This window comes from Homo sapiens, chromosome 6 (genome assembly GCF_000001405.40).
Source record: "Homo sapiens chromosome 6, GRCh38.p14 Primary Assembly".
In the NCBI taxonomy this organism is placed as follows: domain Eukaryota; kingdom Metazoa; phylum Chordata; class Mammalia; order Primates; family Hominidae; genus Homo; species Homo sapiens.
In genome coordinates this window covers 128680380-128698614 of record NC_000006.12, presented here as the reverse complement: position 1 = coordinate 128698614, position 18235 = coordinate 128680380, and the positions used below count along the sequence as shown (strand labels likewise).

The 18235-nt window shown below is 36.4% G+C and overlaps 1 long non-coding RNA gene across 2 annotated transcripts in view; it reads right to left on the bottom strand.

Annotated features, from left to right (window-relative positions):
- Window positions 1-748: 748 nt before the first annotated feature.
- LOC105377998 (uncharacterized) overlaps window positions 749-18235 on the bottom strand; it is a 49280-nt gene continuing 31793 nt past the window's right edge. Inside the window, exons 1-3 of one of the 2 annotated variants that reach the window (XR_007059753.1) lie at window positions 11666-12269; window positions 9119-9243; window positions 749-5690 (exon numbers count right to left, since the gene is read on the bottom strand). This is a non-coding gene — a long non-coding RNA (uncharacterized LOC105377998). Of the gene's footprint in view, window positions 5691-9118; window positions 9244-11665; window positions 12270-18235 lie in introns of those variants that run through there. The other variant, XR_001744339.2, reaches the window with a different exon arrangement.

Genomic DNA, 18235 nt, shown 5'->3' with positions numbered 1-18235 from the left:
TTGGATTTTTACTACTGTCTTTCCCTGCCTATCTCACATCATCTTTCTACACTGTCAGGTTCAATGAGTTTCCAGGCACTGTCACTATAACAGCACAATCTCTTTTCCATTCATGCTTTCCCTGCCATGGCTAACTCTCTTCAAATCATTATCTTGCTTTTTAAAAATATTGGCGTCAGTTCATTAGAATTATAAAATAAAGGAAAACATAATCAATAAAGTATTAATTACTCATTATTAAATGTACATCTGGGTTTGTCTCCTTGCCTCATGCCTTCTTCCCGTCTTTGAAATCCATCTACCAGAATAAAGCATGACTCTTGAGCCACTTCACTTTTTCAAAACCTTACATTTTCACTGAAACCAAATATAGCAAAAATGGAATTATATGGAGAACATCAGAATGGTCCTGCGGAACAGCTAAACCACATTTAAAAATAAATAAAAGAGGCTGAGCATGGTGGCTCACTCCTGTAATCCCAGCACTTTGGGAGGCCGAGGCAGGTGGATCACTTGAAGTCAGGAGTTCGAGACCAGCCTGGACAACATGACGAAACCCTGTCTCTACTAAATACACACACCACACACAAATTAGCTGGGTGTGGTGGCAGGTTCCTATAATCCCAGCTACTCGGGAGGCTGAGGCAGGAGAATTGCTTGAAGCCGGGAGGTGGAGGTTGCACTGAGCTGAGATCACACCACTGCACTCCAGCCTGGGCGACAGCTAGACTCCATCTCAAAATAAATAAATACATACATACAGATACATACATACATGCAGGAATAAATAAGCTAACAGATACATTCTTCAATAGATGTGCATAAGTCATAATATGAAATTTAAACTTTTCGGACTCCTTCCTATGCAGAACTCTTTTTAAAAGCAACTACCATACAAGCAGTTCCCAAGTCATGTTCCCCATATATAACAATGAGAATCCTAGACTGGCACTTTGAGGAGTGCTTAATAAAGGATTTTTACAAATGTGTAGGCAGTTTCCTAAAGAGGGATAGTGAAGCAGCATACAGCTCACAACAGATGAGGAACATTGCCAGCTTTAGATAGAAGGGATAAGGAGAGGAAACAGTTATAAGGACCCAGACAGGGTAGCTCTATAAGAAAGGGCATCTGAAAGGAGTGTGGCCTTCAGTGGAGGGATGCAGCAAGTCTGTGGTGACCTGGCTATTTGGAGGAGGGAGTTGAGGGACCAAATGCCCCAACCCCTGTCTCCTCTCACCCTCTCATCTCCTATAAATGTCCCTCTTGGGCCAAACACAATCAAGAACCGAACACAGGGACACTCAGCATGAAGTTCCCGAAGATCAGTATCTTGAGCCTGGAATAGCACAGAGAAGGGTCCAGAGTGAGTCTGGAAGGGAAGCTATCCAATACGTCATGGGTTGCTAATAGTTGTTATATAAAAGGGAATTAAAAGTACACTGCCAAAAGAAATGCTGGCTGAAATAAAGGCAAACTGATACACAAAACAAGATTGTATATAGTCCCAAGTTGTGGAGAAGTATGTAGTGCATACTCTTTCCAAAATTTATTTTTAATTGAACTTTTTTTAAAGACACAGTAGAATTGGTGTTTGACAGATATCACTTTGTTCACACAGTGGGTGGTTTATCTGACTGTCTCCAACTAAATTGTAAACTTTACAGCAGCATCTATATCTTCTATCTCTCTGTCCGTATTGCCTGAGATATAAATGTTTATTGAATGACTCACAGTGCGTGAGTGATTCAATGAGTCAGCTTTGTAGTCTAATCTAATAATCAAGGCTATCCTAAAGCATTTTCAATGTTACCTTCAACGTCTACTCCTGCCAAGCTATTCCTGATATACATCTTATACTTTCTCCATCTGGTGCCTTGATAGTTCTGTGTTTTCCAACAAGAGCAGACTTCCTCAAGCTCAGTTTTGTTGATATTTAGGGCTGGATAATTCTCTGTTGTGGTGGGCCGTCCTGTGTTTTGTAGGATGTTTAGTAGCTTCCCACTAGATGCAAGTAGCACTTCCCTAGTTGTGACAACCAAAAATATTTCCAGAAATTGATAAATGTCCCAGGAATGGGGGACAGGGGACTATTGCCCTTGTTGAGAACCACTGTTCTAGAATACCACTACTGCCTTCTTTCCTATGAAATACAGGTACATCTAGGATATTATCTACACAAAAATTGAGTGCTTCCCAAAACCACATTTGATGCCTCTCTTTGTAATGTTTCAGCCTTTGCCATACTGGCTTTTAACCTATATTACATCAATCACTTTCACCTTAAATTTAATTACTTGATTATTTCATTGGATAAAAATTTCATGCAAGTGACATATTACTATATTTTCCAATTTACCGAGTGGCTTATCTTTTTTAAACTATAGCATTTGCTCAATAAATGTTTAAATGGATGAATAACCTTGTGTTTTCCATATGCAGAATTGTTATCATAGATGACACTTTGTCTTTGCATTAAGTAAAGAGCTTCAGAAAAAGAAAAATCTTAGTGGCTTTAACATGGCAAACCTCTTTTTGTAATAATGAGCTGGGAGCAATACTCGCTCACTCAATGGGATTTGAGAGAGGCGTATAAACATGAAAAAAACAAAATTCGGAAAAAAAACTTACCTATTATTTCACAAGTTAAGCATCAAGATAGAAAGCAGAATTTCATATGTTTCCTAAGTGTTGTTTTAAAATTTTTTAATTAACACCTGGATCCGAATAGAGCATTTAAAAACAAGTTTAAAAGACCAAATGAATGACTTTGACTGGTTACCATAACAAATTACCTTTAATAATGAGGCCTATAAAATTGTTTTCATCTTCAAAGTACTTTAAAGCTTTAATTAATTATTGCAAGACTCCTGTGCAATAAATAATTAGGTATTATTATTGCTCCATTTATTGATGGGAAAATGAAAGATAATTGTTTAAGAATTTTCTCCAATTTATTTAGGTCAGCTACAATGTTAAATATCTAATTCCTTTCAGAATAATTTTTAAAAAATGTATAACCTGAGTTAAGAATGCTTTTTATGAAATATATTTTGTGAAGTTTGGTAACAGAAACCTCAAGTAATTTCTAATATCAGAGCTACAAATAACAAACTCTCCTGTTTCTACCAAATATTAAATCATACTTCCATCTTCAGTATTCCAGTTCACAAACTATAAAACTTTGAAAAGTGATGATTTCTAGAAATTACATTTCCATTCCTTCAGCATCATTATTAGTAACTGGATGAACGTATTCTGTGAAAAAACATGTAATCTTTTAAAATTCTAGCTCAAAAAGAAATAAATTTCAAAATATAATTTGATGATATTCTAGGATTTACAAACCTAGCACTTCCCTTGGGAAGTAAAATGACAAGAAATTTACTATGTTCTGTCACATTTTCTAATGTATTCAGAAGTAAACTGCTGGAAAAGTTTTACATATTTCTGTCAATTTTGTGTTTGTGAATTTGCTGTTTCTGATGAATTATAGGGTATGCTCACAGATTTAGGGAAACAAATTTCTTGTTCTCTTACTTTCATAAAGTATGGACTTGTCTTCAAATTTCCACCATTTACTCGTAATACAGATATTCAAAATGATGTCTGCAGCAGTACACTCAACTTAAATGAATCTGTATCTCCTTGGAGGTCTCAATCATTTCTGTACCCCTTTTCCTAATTGGTCAGTTAAGTAGCAACTTCTCACGAAACACCCAGTTTCTACAATCATAAGTTGCCTTCTACTGAGGAGTATGTACTTCTATATAATAGGTCAACCTACAACAGTTTCACTTCTTGAGAAAACACAAACATAAACTAATGTATCACTAGCTGCAGAGGGTTACAAAGCAGGAAGCATTTAAGAAAGGAAGGAAGCAGAGTAAAGGGTGAGAGAACTGGGTTAGTACCTAACACTTCAAATAAAAGTTGTTCACTCAGTGTAAAAAAGGTGAGGGAAAGGAATTGACAAGATGGGAAACACTAGGAAATTCTATAGTAGCAGACAGGAGAATATTTGGAAGCAGTCACTGTCAGTGCTGGTTTTCTTTTTTTTTTTTTTTTTCACTAATGGGATTGCTCTTGACTAGAGACCATCAACAAGGCCATGACCTCTGGCAGGAGAGAGATATGGTTAGCCCTACACAATAGCCACTTCCAAATGCTGCCCTGAAACAGCCTCTTTCTTACAATTTCTACATTTTTAGACATCTACATGCTTGCCACTGCTAGGACATTAGTCAGAGTGAGTGGGTAAGTGAAGTCAAGAGGGGAAAGACAAAATACACCTGAGGTGATACAGAAAACAGTCAACGCTAACATATCCCCTAAGTTCACACTAAGATGCCAATATAAGAACACTCACAGTCAGAAATATTTCACTTGCTTTTTTTTTTTCTTTCAGAGGCAATGTGAGCCTTCAGTGATTGAATAAAAATTTGGCAAAGTGTGACTTAAGAGTTACAGGAATCTTAAGCCTTAGATTAGGACGATGTCATCTCTATTAAACAACAAACATGTTATTTTGGAGAGATAAAGGTAAAGAGGGCAGGTTGGGAGGATTGAGAGAGAAAAAGTATATTAACCACTTACCTACTCTTTAATGTGCACCCGTTCTCCATTTTTATATGTGACATTAGTCATGTGGTTATACCCTACTATAAAGAAGGGTACACAACAGTCTTTTAGTTAGGCAAAAAACTAGAGTTTTGTTACAAAGGAAGAAAAAAATGGAAATTAAGAGGTAATTACAAGTCCACACCACAATAAGCTTCTACCATTGTCCCTCATTGTAAAAACCATTCTTTAAATCCTGTTTTTAATCATTTGCTATGCTCTTTCTTTAGGTGATGGGTTTTATTATCCAATATCCAACTAATCAACTGTATATCATTGTCACTGTCTTCAAAGGCTATATTTATCATTCAGCCCTAACTCCTAATTTCCCAATTTCTTTATTACACTATAAAATATCCGATCTCTATTTGGATATTCTATAGTGTAATAAAGAAAATGCTATGTATTCACAAACCCATTTTATTTTTTGGGAGGTACACAGGAAGATGATATTTCCCAGCTACCGTTGCTCTTAAGTTGAAGCCACATGTGATATAGTCCTAAAAAGTCTCATTTGGTAGTTCATTCTTTCTCTCTTCTGTAGCTGAGGCAGGAAGTGATGGACTTAAAGATGACAGAGCCACACAATTGAATAAAGCCTACATAGTTTTGTCACTGCTTAGAGGTAAGCCCCCTAGTAAAGCCCCCACCCAAATCCATATCAGACTTCATGTTAAGCCCATGAGATTTACAGCACTGCTTGTTCCAGTAGTAAGCCTTAGTTACCCTGATCAATGCAGGTATCAATAACTTGAGGCATCACTATACTCTGTTCTCTAGTGAATCAAATACAGTTCATATCAGATTAGTTTTGTAAAGAGGACAAATCATGTTTGGAATGACAGGTTGTCTTTACATGAATCAGATAGACTGAAATTCAATGATAATTAAATTATGAAGATTAGAGAAATTATGTGTAATAGAATGAAGGAGAATATCACATTCAAGAAAAATTCTGGTCAGGCACAGTGGCTCATACCTGTAGTCCCAGCACTTTGGGAGGTTGAGGACAGAGGACTGCTTGAGCCCTGGAGTTTGAGACCAGCCTGGGAAAAAGAGTGAGACTATGTTTCTGCAAAAAAATAAAAAAATAAATAATGAGCTGGTGTGGGGCATGCCTATAGTCCTAGCTACTAGGGAGGCTGAGGTTGGGGGATTGCTTGAGCCCAGGAGGCTGAGGCACCTCCAGTGAGCCATGAGGAATGTGCCACTGCACTCCAGCTTGGGTACAGACTAAGACCCTGTTTGAAAAAAAAAAAAAAAAGGAAAAAGAAAAATAGAAAAATTAGGGGAAACTCTTCAAGTAAGCCTAATGATTACACAACTTAGATACCATCAAACATCCCTTCATTGTTGTGCACATCTACCATCTACACTACTAGTTACAGCATCCTTGTGATTAGAGTTATTGTCTAATCTCTGCTTATAATACAAACACATAACATCTTACTTTGTATGGAGTGTGTGTTCAATGATGATGACCATGTTGATGAAGATGACAATGATAATGATGGTTTTAATAGAGTTGGGGGAAATGTACACCACCATTATTGGAGATTACACACAGCACTTCCAAAGAAGGAATTTGGAGTTGATTAAAGCTATTTTCCCTTTATTTCATGTTTTTCCACTCCCAATAAAGAATTTCTAACAATGCCAAATTGTTTCTTTTTCTTTTTTTTTTTTTTTTCATTTTTCATCTTCTAAAAAAACTCTGGTGCTTTCACTTCTTACACAGGTATCAAGATTTATCATCTGATCATTTTCACAAAAGCCTTTACTTTTGAGCTTTCCTCTAACATTGTAATTGTGAAAATAAAACAACACATATGAAATCCTAATTGGCATTATCCTTTTTTTGATGTAACAATGTGCCTCTTTCAGAAACGCAAATGTCAACACTTGTCACCTCACTTTTTTCCAGCTGATATGTGAATAATTAATCTTTCAATGTGTCCACACCCTGAAGGAAGTCACAAGAAGGATTCCCTACTCAAATAAAGAAGAGTTAGAGTACATAAGTGATAGTGCTGAGATAAGTCTCCAAGTCCATTTTCAGCACTTAAACATGAATGGCAATACATATATAGTAAGTGGTTTGGTTTTGTTTTGTTGATGGAAATTCTAAGGACAAAGTCTTGTTCACTCTGCCATCTGTGCAGAAATAATGGAGATATCTATTCTAGTTGTTCTGGCAGATAACACATTAAAGTCATATAGAAAATGGGATGACTGGAGGAATGAAAAACTTTACACAAATATTATAGGCCTCCTTTTAAAATTAGCTTTAGAAAAAACAGAAAATTTGTAATGTTAACTAAGAAAGCAAGCACAAAAGAGAAGAAAGAAAAGGTTAAAAAAAACATATTTAGAAGTGAGGGAAAAGCACAGGCAAAGGTTATTTTTTGTTTTAAATGTAGTGGAGAAAAGAGACCAAAAAAAATGATGAGATATAACAAAGAGCCCAAAGTAATTCAGGCTTGTCCTGTTTTACTTTATTCCAATTTTCCATTGAATAATGGTCATGAAAACAGAAAAGGGGCAGGGTTATCTCAGATGGGAAACAAGCACATAGGGTGTGAGCAGAGCATAAACTACAGAAAAGATGGTTGCCAGTACAAAGGAGAAAATAACCTGCCTTATTGGTGCCTTATTGGTGAAGGACCACTCCCCCTTCAAATTTGTTTCAAAAATTTTTCATGTTTGAATAGAAATACAGGCAGGTGATACAAAATTAACGCCCGAAAGGGCCTTTTTGTTGTGCATGTCCACTTATGTTAATTTCCTTGTCCCCACCCGCTTCCCATTCACCCTACTCCCACCCCTCTTCCCAGCCTGAGCTTTCACCTTACAGAGAGTGCCTGGCACAGAGGAAACTGTCATTAAATGTCTGAAGAAATGTTATAGAACTGGAAGTGTTCCTCAACAGAAAGGTTCAAAAAGCTGTTCGTCTGCACAATGATGCCCTATATTTTGGAAACTGAATTTCTCATGTACTTGATTTTCATACATTTGATGAAAATTCTTCTCATATCTTGGAATGTATCTTTAATTTGTTCAAGTTTGCAACATAGTAAAGGGCATAATGGAGCAGAGAAAAGGAGCTAACCAGGAAACAAATTAATTCAGCCAAATCTTCCTTAGTAATTAACAGGCTGACAGATGTCAATGCCAAATCATCCTTATGTCCGCAGAATCGACTTCAGTGTTGCTTTTCAGGAGATGTGCTGCTGCTAACAAAAATATATTAAAGAACCAATTTAGATGTTCATAATACAATGATTTTTGACCTGCTGAGAATGATGTGTAGTCATGAAATAAATATCACAGTTGGGAATTCTACCAAAAGAACCTATCAATTCTACATGATGTGTTCCTTAAAAAGCTACAATGTCAGAGAGGGTGATTATTTAACATAAAGGAAAATAAGAGAGAGCTCTAGGATTTTTTTTACTTCCTGAAATAGATTATGTTAAAACATTCAATATCAAATGTGGTTTCAGTGTGCCAAGGAGTTAGACTGAAGAAAGCACAGGGTCAACAGAATTTAATCTTTAAGGTTTACCTGTAGAACATGTGGACAAAATAAGTTAGGAAAATATTCAGAAAAAAAATGAAAGGAATAGATAACGATACAGAGTACTCTGAAAAAGGAAGAAGGAGCAACCCTTTCAGGTATGACTAAAACCTACAACACCCCAGGCATACATCCTTAGGGAATTTTTTTGCCTATTTATAGCTTACAGAGAAGTTATAATTACCCACTGGAGAGATAAGACATTTCTGTCCACTCTCTTAGAAAGAGAGGTTGAGGAGAATAATTTCTCCCCGAGGAAACAGATCGGAACCCAAAAGGAGCTTTTTTTTTTCTCTTTTTCTTTTTTTTATTTTATTATTATTATACTTTAAGTTTTAGGGTACATGTGCACAATGTGCAGGCTTGTTACATATGTATACACGTGCCATGTTCACACCGGGGACTGTTTTTTTTTTTTTTTTCTTTGAGACGGAGTCTTGCTCTGTTGACAGGCTGGAGTGCAGTAGTGCAAACTCGGCTCACTGCAACATCCGCCTCCTGGGTTCAAGTGATTCTCCTGCCTCAGCCTCCCGAGTAGCTGGGACTACAGGCGCCCACCACTACGCCTGGCTAATTCTTGTATTTTTAGTAGAGACGGGGTTTCACCATGTTGGCCAGGATGATCTCGATCTCTTGACTTTGTGATCCACCCGCCTCGGCCTCCCAAAGTGCTGGGATTACAGGCGTGAGCCACTGCTTCCAGCTACATGTGCCTTTTCTAAAGGAATTGAAGACTTCCACTTCTGGACCCACCTCATGTTTCTTCCTTCCCTCTGATTTTCTCCTGAAATCACTGAAATCTGTTTTCTATGTCTAGCATTCTACTAACTCTATTCTCACAAGTTAACCAAAACCTCTGTCTACAAAGGATTATCTTTGCCTCAGTATTTTTAGCAATTACCGTGGAACTCTATACAACTTACATTTGTATAATGCTTTCCATTTTCCAAGGCTCCTTCATTTATGTTAATCAGCTTTGTGAGATAAGATGAATATAGCTCTTCCTGGTTTTGAAGATGACGAAATTGAAGCACAACAGGCCACAGAGCTAAATGTAAGTATAGAACATACCTCCTGGTTACCAGTTAATTAGTAAAATATAGAACTGAAATTCTCTATCCTAGATATACTCCACCCCTGACCCAGCTGTCCACTTGAACCACAATACTTAATCTAGTTTGTAATTAAACATTAATGAGACCTTTTAATTAATACATTACCATTCAAGAATAAACTCTGAAAGTCTATTTTGTTCACCATCATAACTCTTGTACAAAGCGTGATCCTGGCACATTAGAGGTGTTCAATGAATAGTTGTTGCTCAGATGATGGATGATTTTCTTTTAATCACACAGTGTCTAATTTTTGTCCCTTGCACCTCAGCTATAACTACCTCAACTGTATTATCTGCATCTAACTGTACCTCAACTATATCACCTGCAGCTCATTACATGTAGGTATCTCTGCATGTATCATCTATTTCCTTCTACTAGTCTGTAGTAGTAGACTTACAGAGAAGTCATAATTACCGACTGGAGAGATAAGACATTTCTGTCCACTCTCTTAGAAAGAGAGCTTGAGGGGAACAATTTCTCCCTAAGGAAACAGATCGGAAACCAAAAGGAGCATTTTTTTTCTCTCTTTTTTGAGACTGAATCTTGCTCTGTTGCCAAGCTGGAGTGCAGTAGTGCGATCTTGGCTCACTGCAACATCTGTGTCCCGGGTTCAAGTGATTCTCCTCCCTCAGCCTCCTGAGTAGCTGGGACTATAGGTTCTTTTGGTAGAATTGCCAACTGTGATATCTACTAGTCTGTAGCAGTAGAAGGAAATAGATCATACATGCAGAGATACCTACACATAATGAGCTGCAAGTGATATAGTTGAGGTACAGTTAAGGAAACTATAGATAGTTAAGGAAACTTCTTAAGTTTCCTTAACTATCTATAGACATCAATAACCTAGTACAGGCCCGTCTCCTGTGTTGGTACCCAATAAATATTTGAGAAAATGAAGTTTTTCTCCATGCACCCTAGGAAGCTGTTATTCATAGAATGATGTTTGAAGTTCTGTGATCACTTCATATAGAGAATCCAACCCAATGGTAAACCCTTAATGAATTTCAGGATATCATTTCCTGTACCAAAGACATTTTCCAAGTGAGTGAATAATTTTCACTTGACCAGAGGCCATGCCACACATGATAAGAAACATTACTTCCACCTTTCAATTCAGGTGAGGTCACAACTATTCTTAACAAGAAAACCTTCTAAAGCCATGATCACAGAGCAAATAAAGGAAAAAGTGAACACTCAGACTGGCCATTTGAACTCTGACATTTCTTGCCAACATATTAATATTGCCTGTAATTGCTCTCAGCTGGGTACTGAATTCCCTAAAACAAGTGGAGACTTTTTGTGAGTTTGATTTCCTGTATCTACGCAAGCATCGAGCCCTTACACCTGAATGTGAGAAATGCCACTGGTAAAAAAATTTTGACCTAACGTTCTATACAAGTATAAGTTACACATTACGAAACTAGAGACTGAACATTTCCAAAAGATTTCCTCCACACCTCAAAGGGAAAAGTGACATTTTCAGTTCTTGCTTCTCAATCAGGAATAAAGTTCTCCCAATTTAAGAATGGAAAACAGCAGTAACTCAGAGACATTGTAAAGATCAGTAATATATGACACAGAACCGAAGTTTGTGAAGAAAACCACTACTTAAAAAGAGTAAAAGTATCCACTCGACCTTCAAATACACTAATTAAAATGATATCTTCCTTAAAAAATGCTAAGTCAGATACTTCACAAAATAACAGCCTAGTTTCACTGAAATTCAATTTCATATAACCAAGAGGTTCTTAAATGCCATTCAAACCCTTACACAAATGATATCAATAGTGATATAAAAAGAGACATTTTATTGGTCATATGATTCAAATTTCTGAATTTCCTTACTCCCAGGCTTTATTTATTAAGGGTTAAACTTTGTATTTCTTGCATGTCTATCTGAAGGAAGGGCTAAGGATCACCCACTCCCTTTAAATTCCAGACAGACTGCATTTAGTTTTATATCTAAAGAATAGCTGCCAGCCCAATCCATCATTTTTTATTTCAATTACTTGCTTTAGGTCTTTGTGTTTTTGCTCTCAGCAGTCATAAAAATAAGGAAGATGTCTTCATTGTTAGCTATTAAATCTTAGTTTAGAATCTACATGTCAATTTCTTAATACTATCTTAATTTTTTTAAAAATTTATCAGTTCATTTATCCACTTCAGATTTGCTGTAATGATGCTTAAAATTTGGTTTTACTATAGACATAAAAATTATGATTTGTAAAAATATCTTAGCTAAAAACTACCTTCCCATCTGCTTTAGCTCCTAGAGAGTACAAAATGTACCCATAAGCCTGAACAAAAGGCTCAAGCCCAACTTCTGAGAACACAAGAGTTGGGTAATTCACATACCAGGAAGGATGCTGAAGAGGAGCAGAATATGCCACCCCAAAAATATTCCATATTGGCATAAGGATCATTTTTGAGCTGAAGGAAATTGAGAAGCAGCAGGAAGAATTCTCTGGTGTCAACTTTCTGCCTAAAATCACAGCATAAATTTTCCTTTGTAAAAGTGACATAGGTCTCCATTTTTAAAGGTGTTCTCCTCTCCTGTACCTGGAAGAGGTAAACAACTCTTATCTGTATGACAAACCATACTAAACAGCCTTTATCTACAATACTAGTCACATTTTCACAATTTACTGCCCCTAGGAGCCCAAATCCCTTTTTTTTGCTGATTTCTTCTCTGCAATTTATTGCCCTTCATTAAAGTGGTACATATGCCTCGGGGTCTAACTGCCTTTTGGGGTTTCCACTTCTTTTTCTGATACCTCAAGCATATAAAATATTAATGTAAATAAAGCAACATATGGGGAAATGACACCAGCAATATGGTGGAATAGATGGTTCCAGCCCTTGTCATCCCACAGAAATTAATTTAACAAACATCCATGGACAAAACATCTTGATAAGAACTCTGGAATCCAGGTGAAAGACTGCAGCACATAAATAGAGCACATAAATTAGAAAAGGCACAATATGCAGAGTAGAAAGGATGGTTTCACTTCCACATTAGTATTTCCCTAGCCCACTTAATGAACTGCCCAAAGAGATCTTATTGGCTCAGGAGTTCACCTGTGGAAGAAAGGGAGAGAAAAGTGTATATTAGACTTTATCATGACCCCAAAACCAGACCTACCACAGTGGAAACCAGAACCAGGCCTGCTCCCAGAAACCCAGGTTACAGGCTACCTTCCCAAAGACATCAACAGCAGTCCTGCCCCCAGCGGACCAACCAGCTCACCCAGAATCTCTGACTGGACTGATTAGTCTGTAAAGACTGGAAAAAATGATGTCTTCAAATGCATGGACATAAATACAAGTCCTAAAATTCACAAAGAATCAGGGAAACATGACATCAACAAAGGAACAAAATAAAATGGCAGTAACCAGCCATGAAGAAATGGAGATCTATGAACTGCCTGATAAGAATTCAAAATAATCATCTTAAACTCAATAAGTTACAAGCGAACACAGATAGACAAATAAATAAATCAGGAAAATGATACAGGAGCAAAACAAGAAGTTCCTCGAAGAGATAGAAATCATAAAAGAGAACCAAACAGAAATTCTACCACCAAAGAAAATAACTGAATTCAAAATTTCTATAGAGAGTTTCAACAGCAGAATATCATGCAGAAAAATGAATTTATTAGCTCAAATACAGGTAATTTAAAATTATCTCTTCAGAGGAATGAAAAGATAAAAAATGAAAAAGAGTGAAGAAAGCCTACAGGACTTACAGAACAACATCCTGCAAATCAATATTTACCTTATGGGTACCTCAGGAAAAAAAATAAAAGAGAAAGGGGCAAAATCCTTATTTAAAGAAATAATGGGTGAAAATTTCCCAAATCTGAAAAGGAAAATGAACATCCAGATTTATGAAGCCCCCAAAACCCCAGGTGGAACTTAAAGACTAGAGGTCTACACTAAGACACATTATCACTAAATTGCTAAAAGTCAAAGAGAGAATTTTAAAAGCTGTAAGAAAAATGTGACTCATCACATAGGAAGGATCCCTATGAAACTATTAATGAATTTTTCAGCAGAAACTTTCCAGGCTAGGAGAGAATAGGATAATATATTCAAAGTGCTGAAAGAAAGAAACTGCTAACCAATAATAATATACCTGGAAAATCTTTCCTCTAATAATGAAGAAGATACAAAGGCTTTCCCAGAGAAACCAAAACTAAGAAGTTTATTACCATTAGAACTGCCATGCAAGAAGTGCTAAAAGGAGTTCTTCAAATTGAAATTAAAGAACACCAAACAGTAATATGAAAATATATGAAAGCATAACTCTCAATGGTAAAGGTAAATATATACACAAATACATAATAACGTAAAATAGTAATGAGGGTGCGTAAATCACTCTTAACCCTAGCATAGAGCTTAAAAGGCAAAACATAGAAAGAAACTATAACTGCAGAAAGTTGGATAATGAATACATAGTACAAAAATAAGTTAATTCTGACATTAATAAAGTGGGGCAGGGGAGTGCAAGTATAGTTTTTGCATGCAATTGAAGTTGTCATTAGTCAAAATGGACTGTTACAGTAATAAAGAGTTTTATGCAAGCCTCATTGTAACCACAAAGAAAAAACTTGCAGCAGATACAGAAAAGAGAAAGGAGACTGCATATAGTTGCATTCTGGTTTTATTTTTTAACACATTCTGCCACTCTGTGTCTTTTTATTGGTGAGTTTAATCCACTTGCATTTAAAGTAATTATTGATAGGCAAGGACTTACTATTGCCATTTTGTTAACTGTTTTTCTGAATGTTTTGCAGTTATTGTGTTCCTCTCTCCATCTCATGTTGTCTATCTTTGTGTTTTGATGCTTCTTTGTGGCAATATTTTTAAATTATTTTCTCTTTTTTGTATCATATGAAATAAGAATAATAGATAAGAAGTCAGGAGTAAACTCTTGTAGGTAATGAATAGGTTTATGGCATAGACTGTGGTGCTGGCTTCATGGATGTATACTTATCTTTGAAATCATAAAGTTGTGTACATTAAATATGTACATATTTTTTGTCAATCATACTCCAATAAAATTTTAAGAAGAAAAGAAATATATGCCCTTCCTCCTATAGATCTGCCTTTTTTTTTGTGGTTTGTTTAATTTGCAGGCTTCCAGATACTGAAAATAAGAGGATAGAAGAAATGCGTTCCTCCCCAAGAATGCTTTCAGCTGCAAGGAAAAGAAAAACAATTAAAACAAGATTGGATTTTGTAAATACATTTTCTATGTTATGTAAGAGTTTAGAGCTATGGCAGGGCAAGAATGGTTAGCTGGTTAATTCCTCAGTCCATTATAAAAAAAATAACTCCTGTTCTTTCCATCCCTTCCATACTGCCAACATCAGAAAGTAGAACTATATCCTCTGGCCCTTCATGATAGCAAGATGGCTGCAACAGCTTCAAATATTACATCCTCACGCAGTACTACTGAAAAGCCACAAAAGGGCATTTTCTCATCTTTCTATCCTAAATAAGAATGACTAAAACAGTCTCAGAAGCTACCCAACTGATTTTCCCTCATATCTTATTTGCCAAAATTCTGTCGTCCTGTGTCCATAACAGAATGAGTCACTTGACAATGGTATGGAATTACCATAACTGGCCTGGACTAATCAAGCTTCACCCCTGAGGTTGGGGAAGAGACTAGATTCTCCTGATTCTCAAGGTTCTAGGACAAAACATGAACAAAATCAATGAAAGTTTGGATATAGGCCACCAAATGACTTTGTGTGTTATGATTGTTAAACCTATCTCTTTGTTCTACTCATCCACAACTTTCCTCCTTTCATTACATACTAAAAATACCAACTTATTTGCTTTAGTTTTCACAACCCCAAGTTTGTAGCATGAGCTTAAAAAGTTCCTACTAGATCACTTTGTGGCATGTCTTATAAATAGGCTAACATTCAGTTCACAAAAGAAACACGTACAAGAACATTAAGAAATGCAATTGTTCATTAACCTTCCTACTATTTCCAGATCAGCAATATTATTAACTCAAGACACCTGGGGGGCCAGAAGTAGCCACAACATCGTCCAGCCAATTCTATTACTTTGGTTCTTCAGACTCAAAGATCTTGATGTTTGTGGTATGTTATGAAATTCTCAAGAACAAGACTCTCATCTCCCACAGGGATACATTAAAGGCAGTTAATATTTATTAGATAAATTAATACATTTGTGTTATTCATTTTGTGACTCTTTTACATTCTGACTCGATAAAGATTGCCTTTCAAAGCTCATTAAACTTTCCGTATCTATTTACGCTCTGACTCTCCTTCACCCCAGGGAATCTAGATTCATCCTGAAAAATGACCACTTGTTTCACATTAGACTGCACCATCCTGTTTCACAACACTTCATAGATTTGTGTTATGTCTTGTCATAATATGTTTAGGGATTATGACAGCATTATTTCTTCTAACATTACAGGACTCGAAGGACTGCACTTCAAAACACTTTACTTCGGGCTAATGTGCAAGACATTTCACGAGCTGCCCTTTGCCACACTCCGGGGTCATGGCTTTGACAACTCCATCAGCACTCTACTATTTAGTCTGCAATTTCCTTAGGATTCTCTACTTCACGTCACTTCAGTGTATCTGCCTATAAAGTTTCCTCTGCCTGAAATGCCCTTTCCTACCTGGTCTATCTTTGGGACTTATCCTGAGATTTACTCCTCTGGTCATAGCTTACCAGATACCCCAAAACAGAATTAGACACCCTTTTTTCTGAGTTCCTCCAACCATGTTTCATTAAAGCTTGATTTGTTTGGTTTGACTTTTTAGCTTGATTGTTTCCGAATGTGGATGGTGAAATTTTTGGAGACAAAACTGTTTTTTACTCTTCTAGAAAATTATTTCCATTGTCTTTTACAGTCCCTTGAACATAAAAACTACTCAATAAATATTTTTTAATTTAAAATTTTGAATAGTGTAGGACTGGTGATCTGTGTCAACTGTAGCACCTTCCTTTCAATTCTCAGCACCTAGTAAGATTGTAACTAGTCAGCTTCATTGACAGAAACAGCCTAAAGCAAAGTATATTTCACAGTTATTAGGTTGGTGCAAACATAACTGCGGTTTTTGCATTGTTGAAATTTGCTGTTTGATATTGAAATACAGTCTTAAATAAGTGTTGTTATGTTATACATCATTTTAATGTGCATTTCTTGCTTTATGTTGTTTTGCTAATGACTTACTTGCTGTTTATTTTAGATTTATCTTAGACTATGGAAATGATGTTAGACAAAACACAAATTCGGGCGATTTTCTTATTTGAGTTCAAAATGGGTCATAAAGCAGTGGAGATAACTCACAACATCAACAATGCATTTGACCCAGGAACTGCTAATGAACATACAGTGCAGTGGTGGTTCAAGAAGTTTTGCAAAGGAGGTGAGAGTGTTGAAGATGTGAAGCATAGTGGCCAGCCATCAGAAGTTGACAATGACTAATTGAGAGCCATCATTGAAGCTAATCCTCCTACAACTACACAAGAAGTTGCAGAAGAACTCAACATTGACCATTCTATGGTCGTTTGGCATTTGAAGCAAATTGGAAAGGTGAAAAAGCTCAGTAAGTGAGTGCCTCATGAGCTGACTGAAAATTTAAAAAAATGTCATTTGGAAGTGTCATATTCTCTTATTCAACACAAAAACGACAAACCATTTCTAGATCGAATTGTGACATGCAATGAAAAGTGGATTTTATACAACTGTTGATGACCAGCTCAGTGGCTGGACTCAGAAGAAGCTCCAAAGCACTTCCCAAAGCCAAACTTGAACCCAAAATAGGTCATGGTCAACATCACTAATGATCAGGGAAATGCAAATTCAAATCACAATGAGATACCAACTTACTCATGCAAAAATTGGCCATAATTTAAAAAAATTAAAAAAATAGATGTTGGCTTGGATGTGGTGAAAAGGGACCACTTTTACACTGCTGGTCAAATGTAAACTAGTACAGCCACTATGGAAAACAGTATGAAGATTCCTTAAGGAACTAAAAGTAAGTCTACCATTTGATCCAGGAATCCCAAGAGGAAAAGAAGCCATTATATGAAAAAGATACTTGCACATGCATGTTTAGAGTAGCACAATTTGTAATTCCAAAAATATGGAACCAGCCCAAATGCCCATCAATCAACAAGTGGATAAGGGAAATGTGGTGTGTGTGTGTGTGTGTGTGTGGTGTGTGTGTGTGTGTGTGTGTGTGTGTGTTTGTGTATCATGGAATACTACTCGGCCATAAAAAGGAACAAAATAATGGCATTTGCAGCAGCCTGGATGGAGTTGGAAATCATTATTCTAAGTGAAGTAACTCAGGAATGGAAAACCAAACATCTTATGTTCTCACTTATAAGTGGGAGATAGGCATCACAAGAATACCACCATGGACTTTGAGGACTCAGGGGGAAGAGTGCCAGGGGGGTGAGGGAGAAAAGATTACACATTGGGTACAGTGTACACTGCTCAGGTGATGGGTGCACCAAAATCTCAGAAATCACCACTAAAGAACTTATCTATGTGATAAAGCACCACTTGTTCCCCAAAAACTATTGAAATTTAAAAATGCCTTTATTCTTCTGAGCTATAGCAAAATCTGTGCCACTCACAAACTAGATTGTATCGTCATGGTGTCTACTTCTTTTCTCTTCAACTAAATTATAAATTTCTGGAAAGTATGGACCAAGTCATGCACATGCATACATCCCCCTGTAAGTAACACAGTGCCTTGATCAGAGCTTACAATTTTAAAAATCTTAAAAATCTGTAGCCTATTAAAGTCCATCTTAGAAATAATTTTCAGTATGATCAATGACAGCTAAGCTTATATACATTTTCATCTCATGCAACATTCTGTACTATTACTTATGCTTATGTATATAATT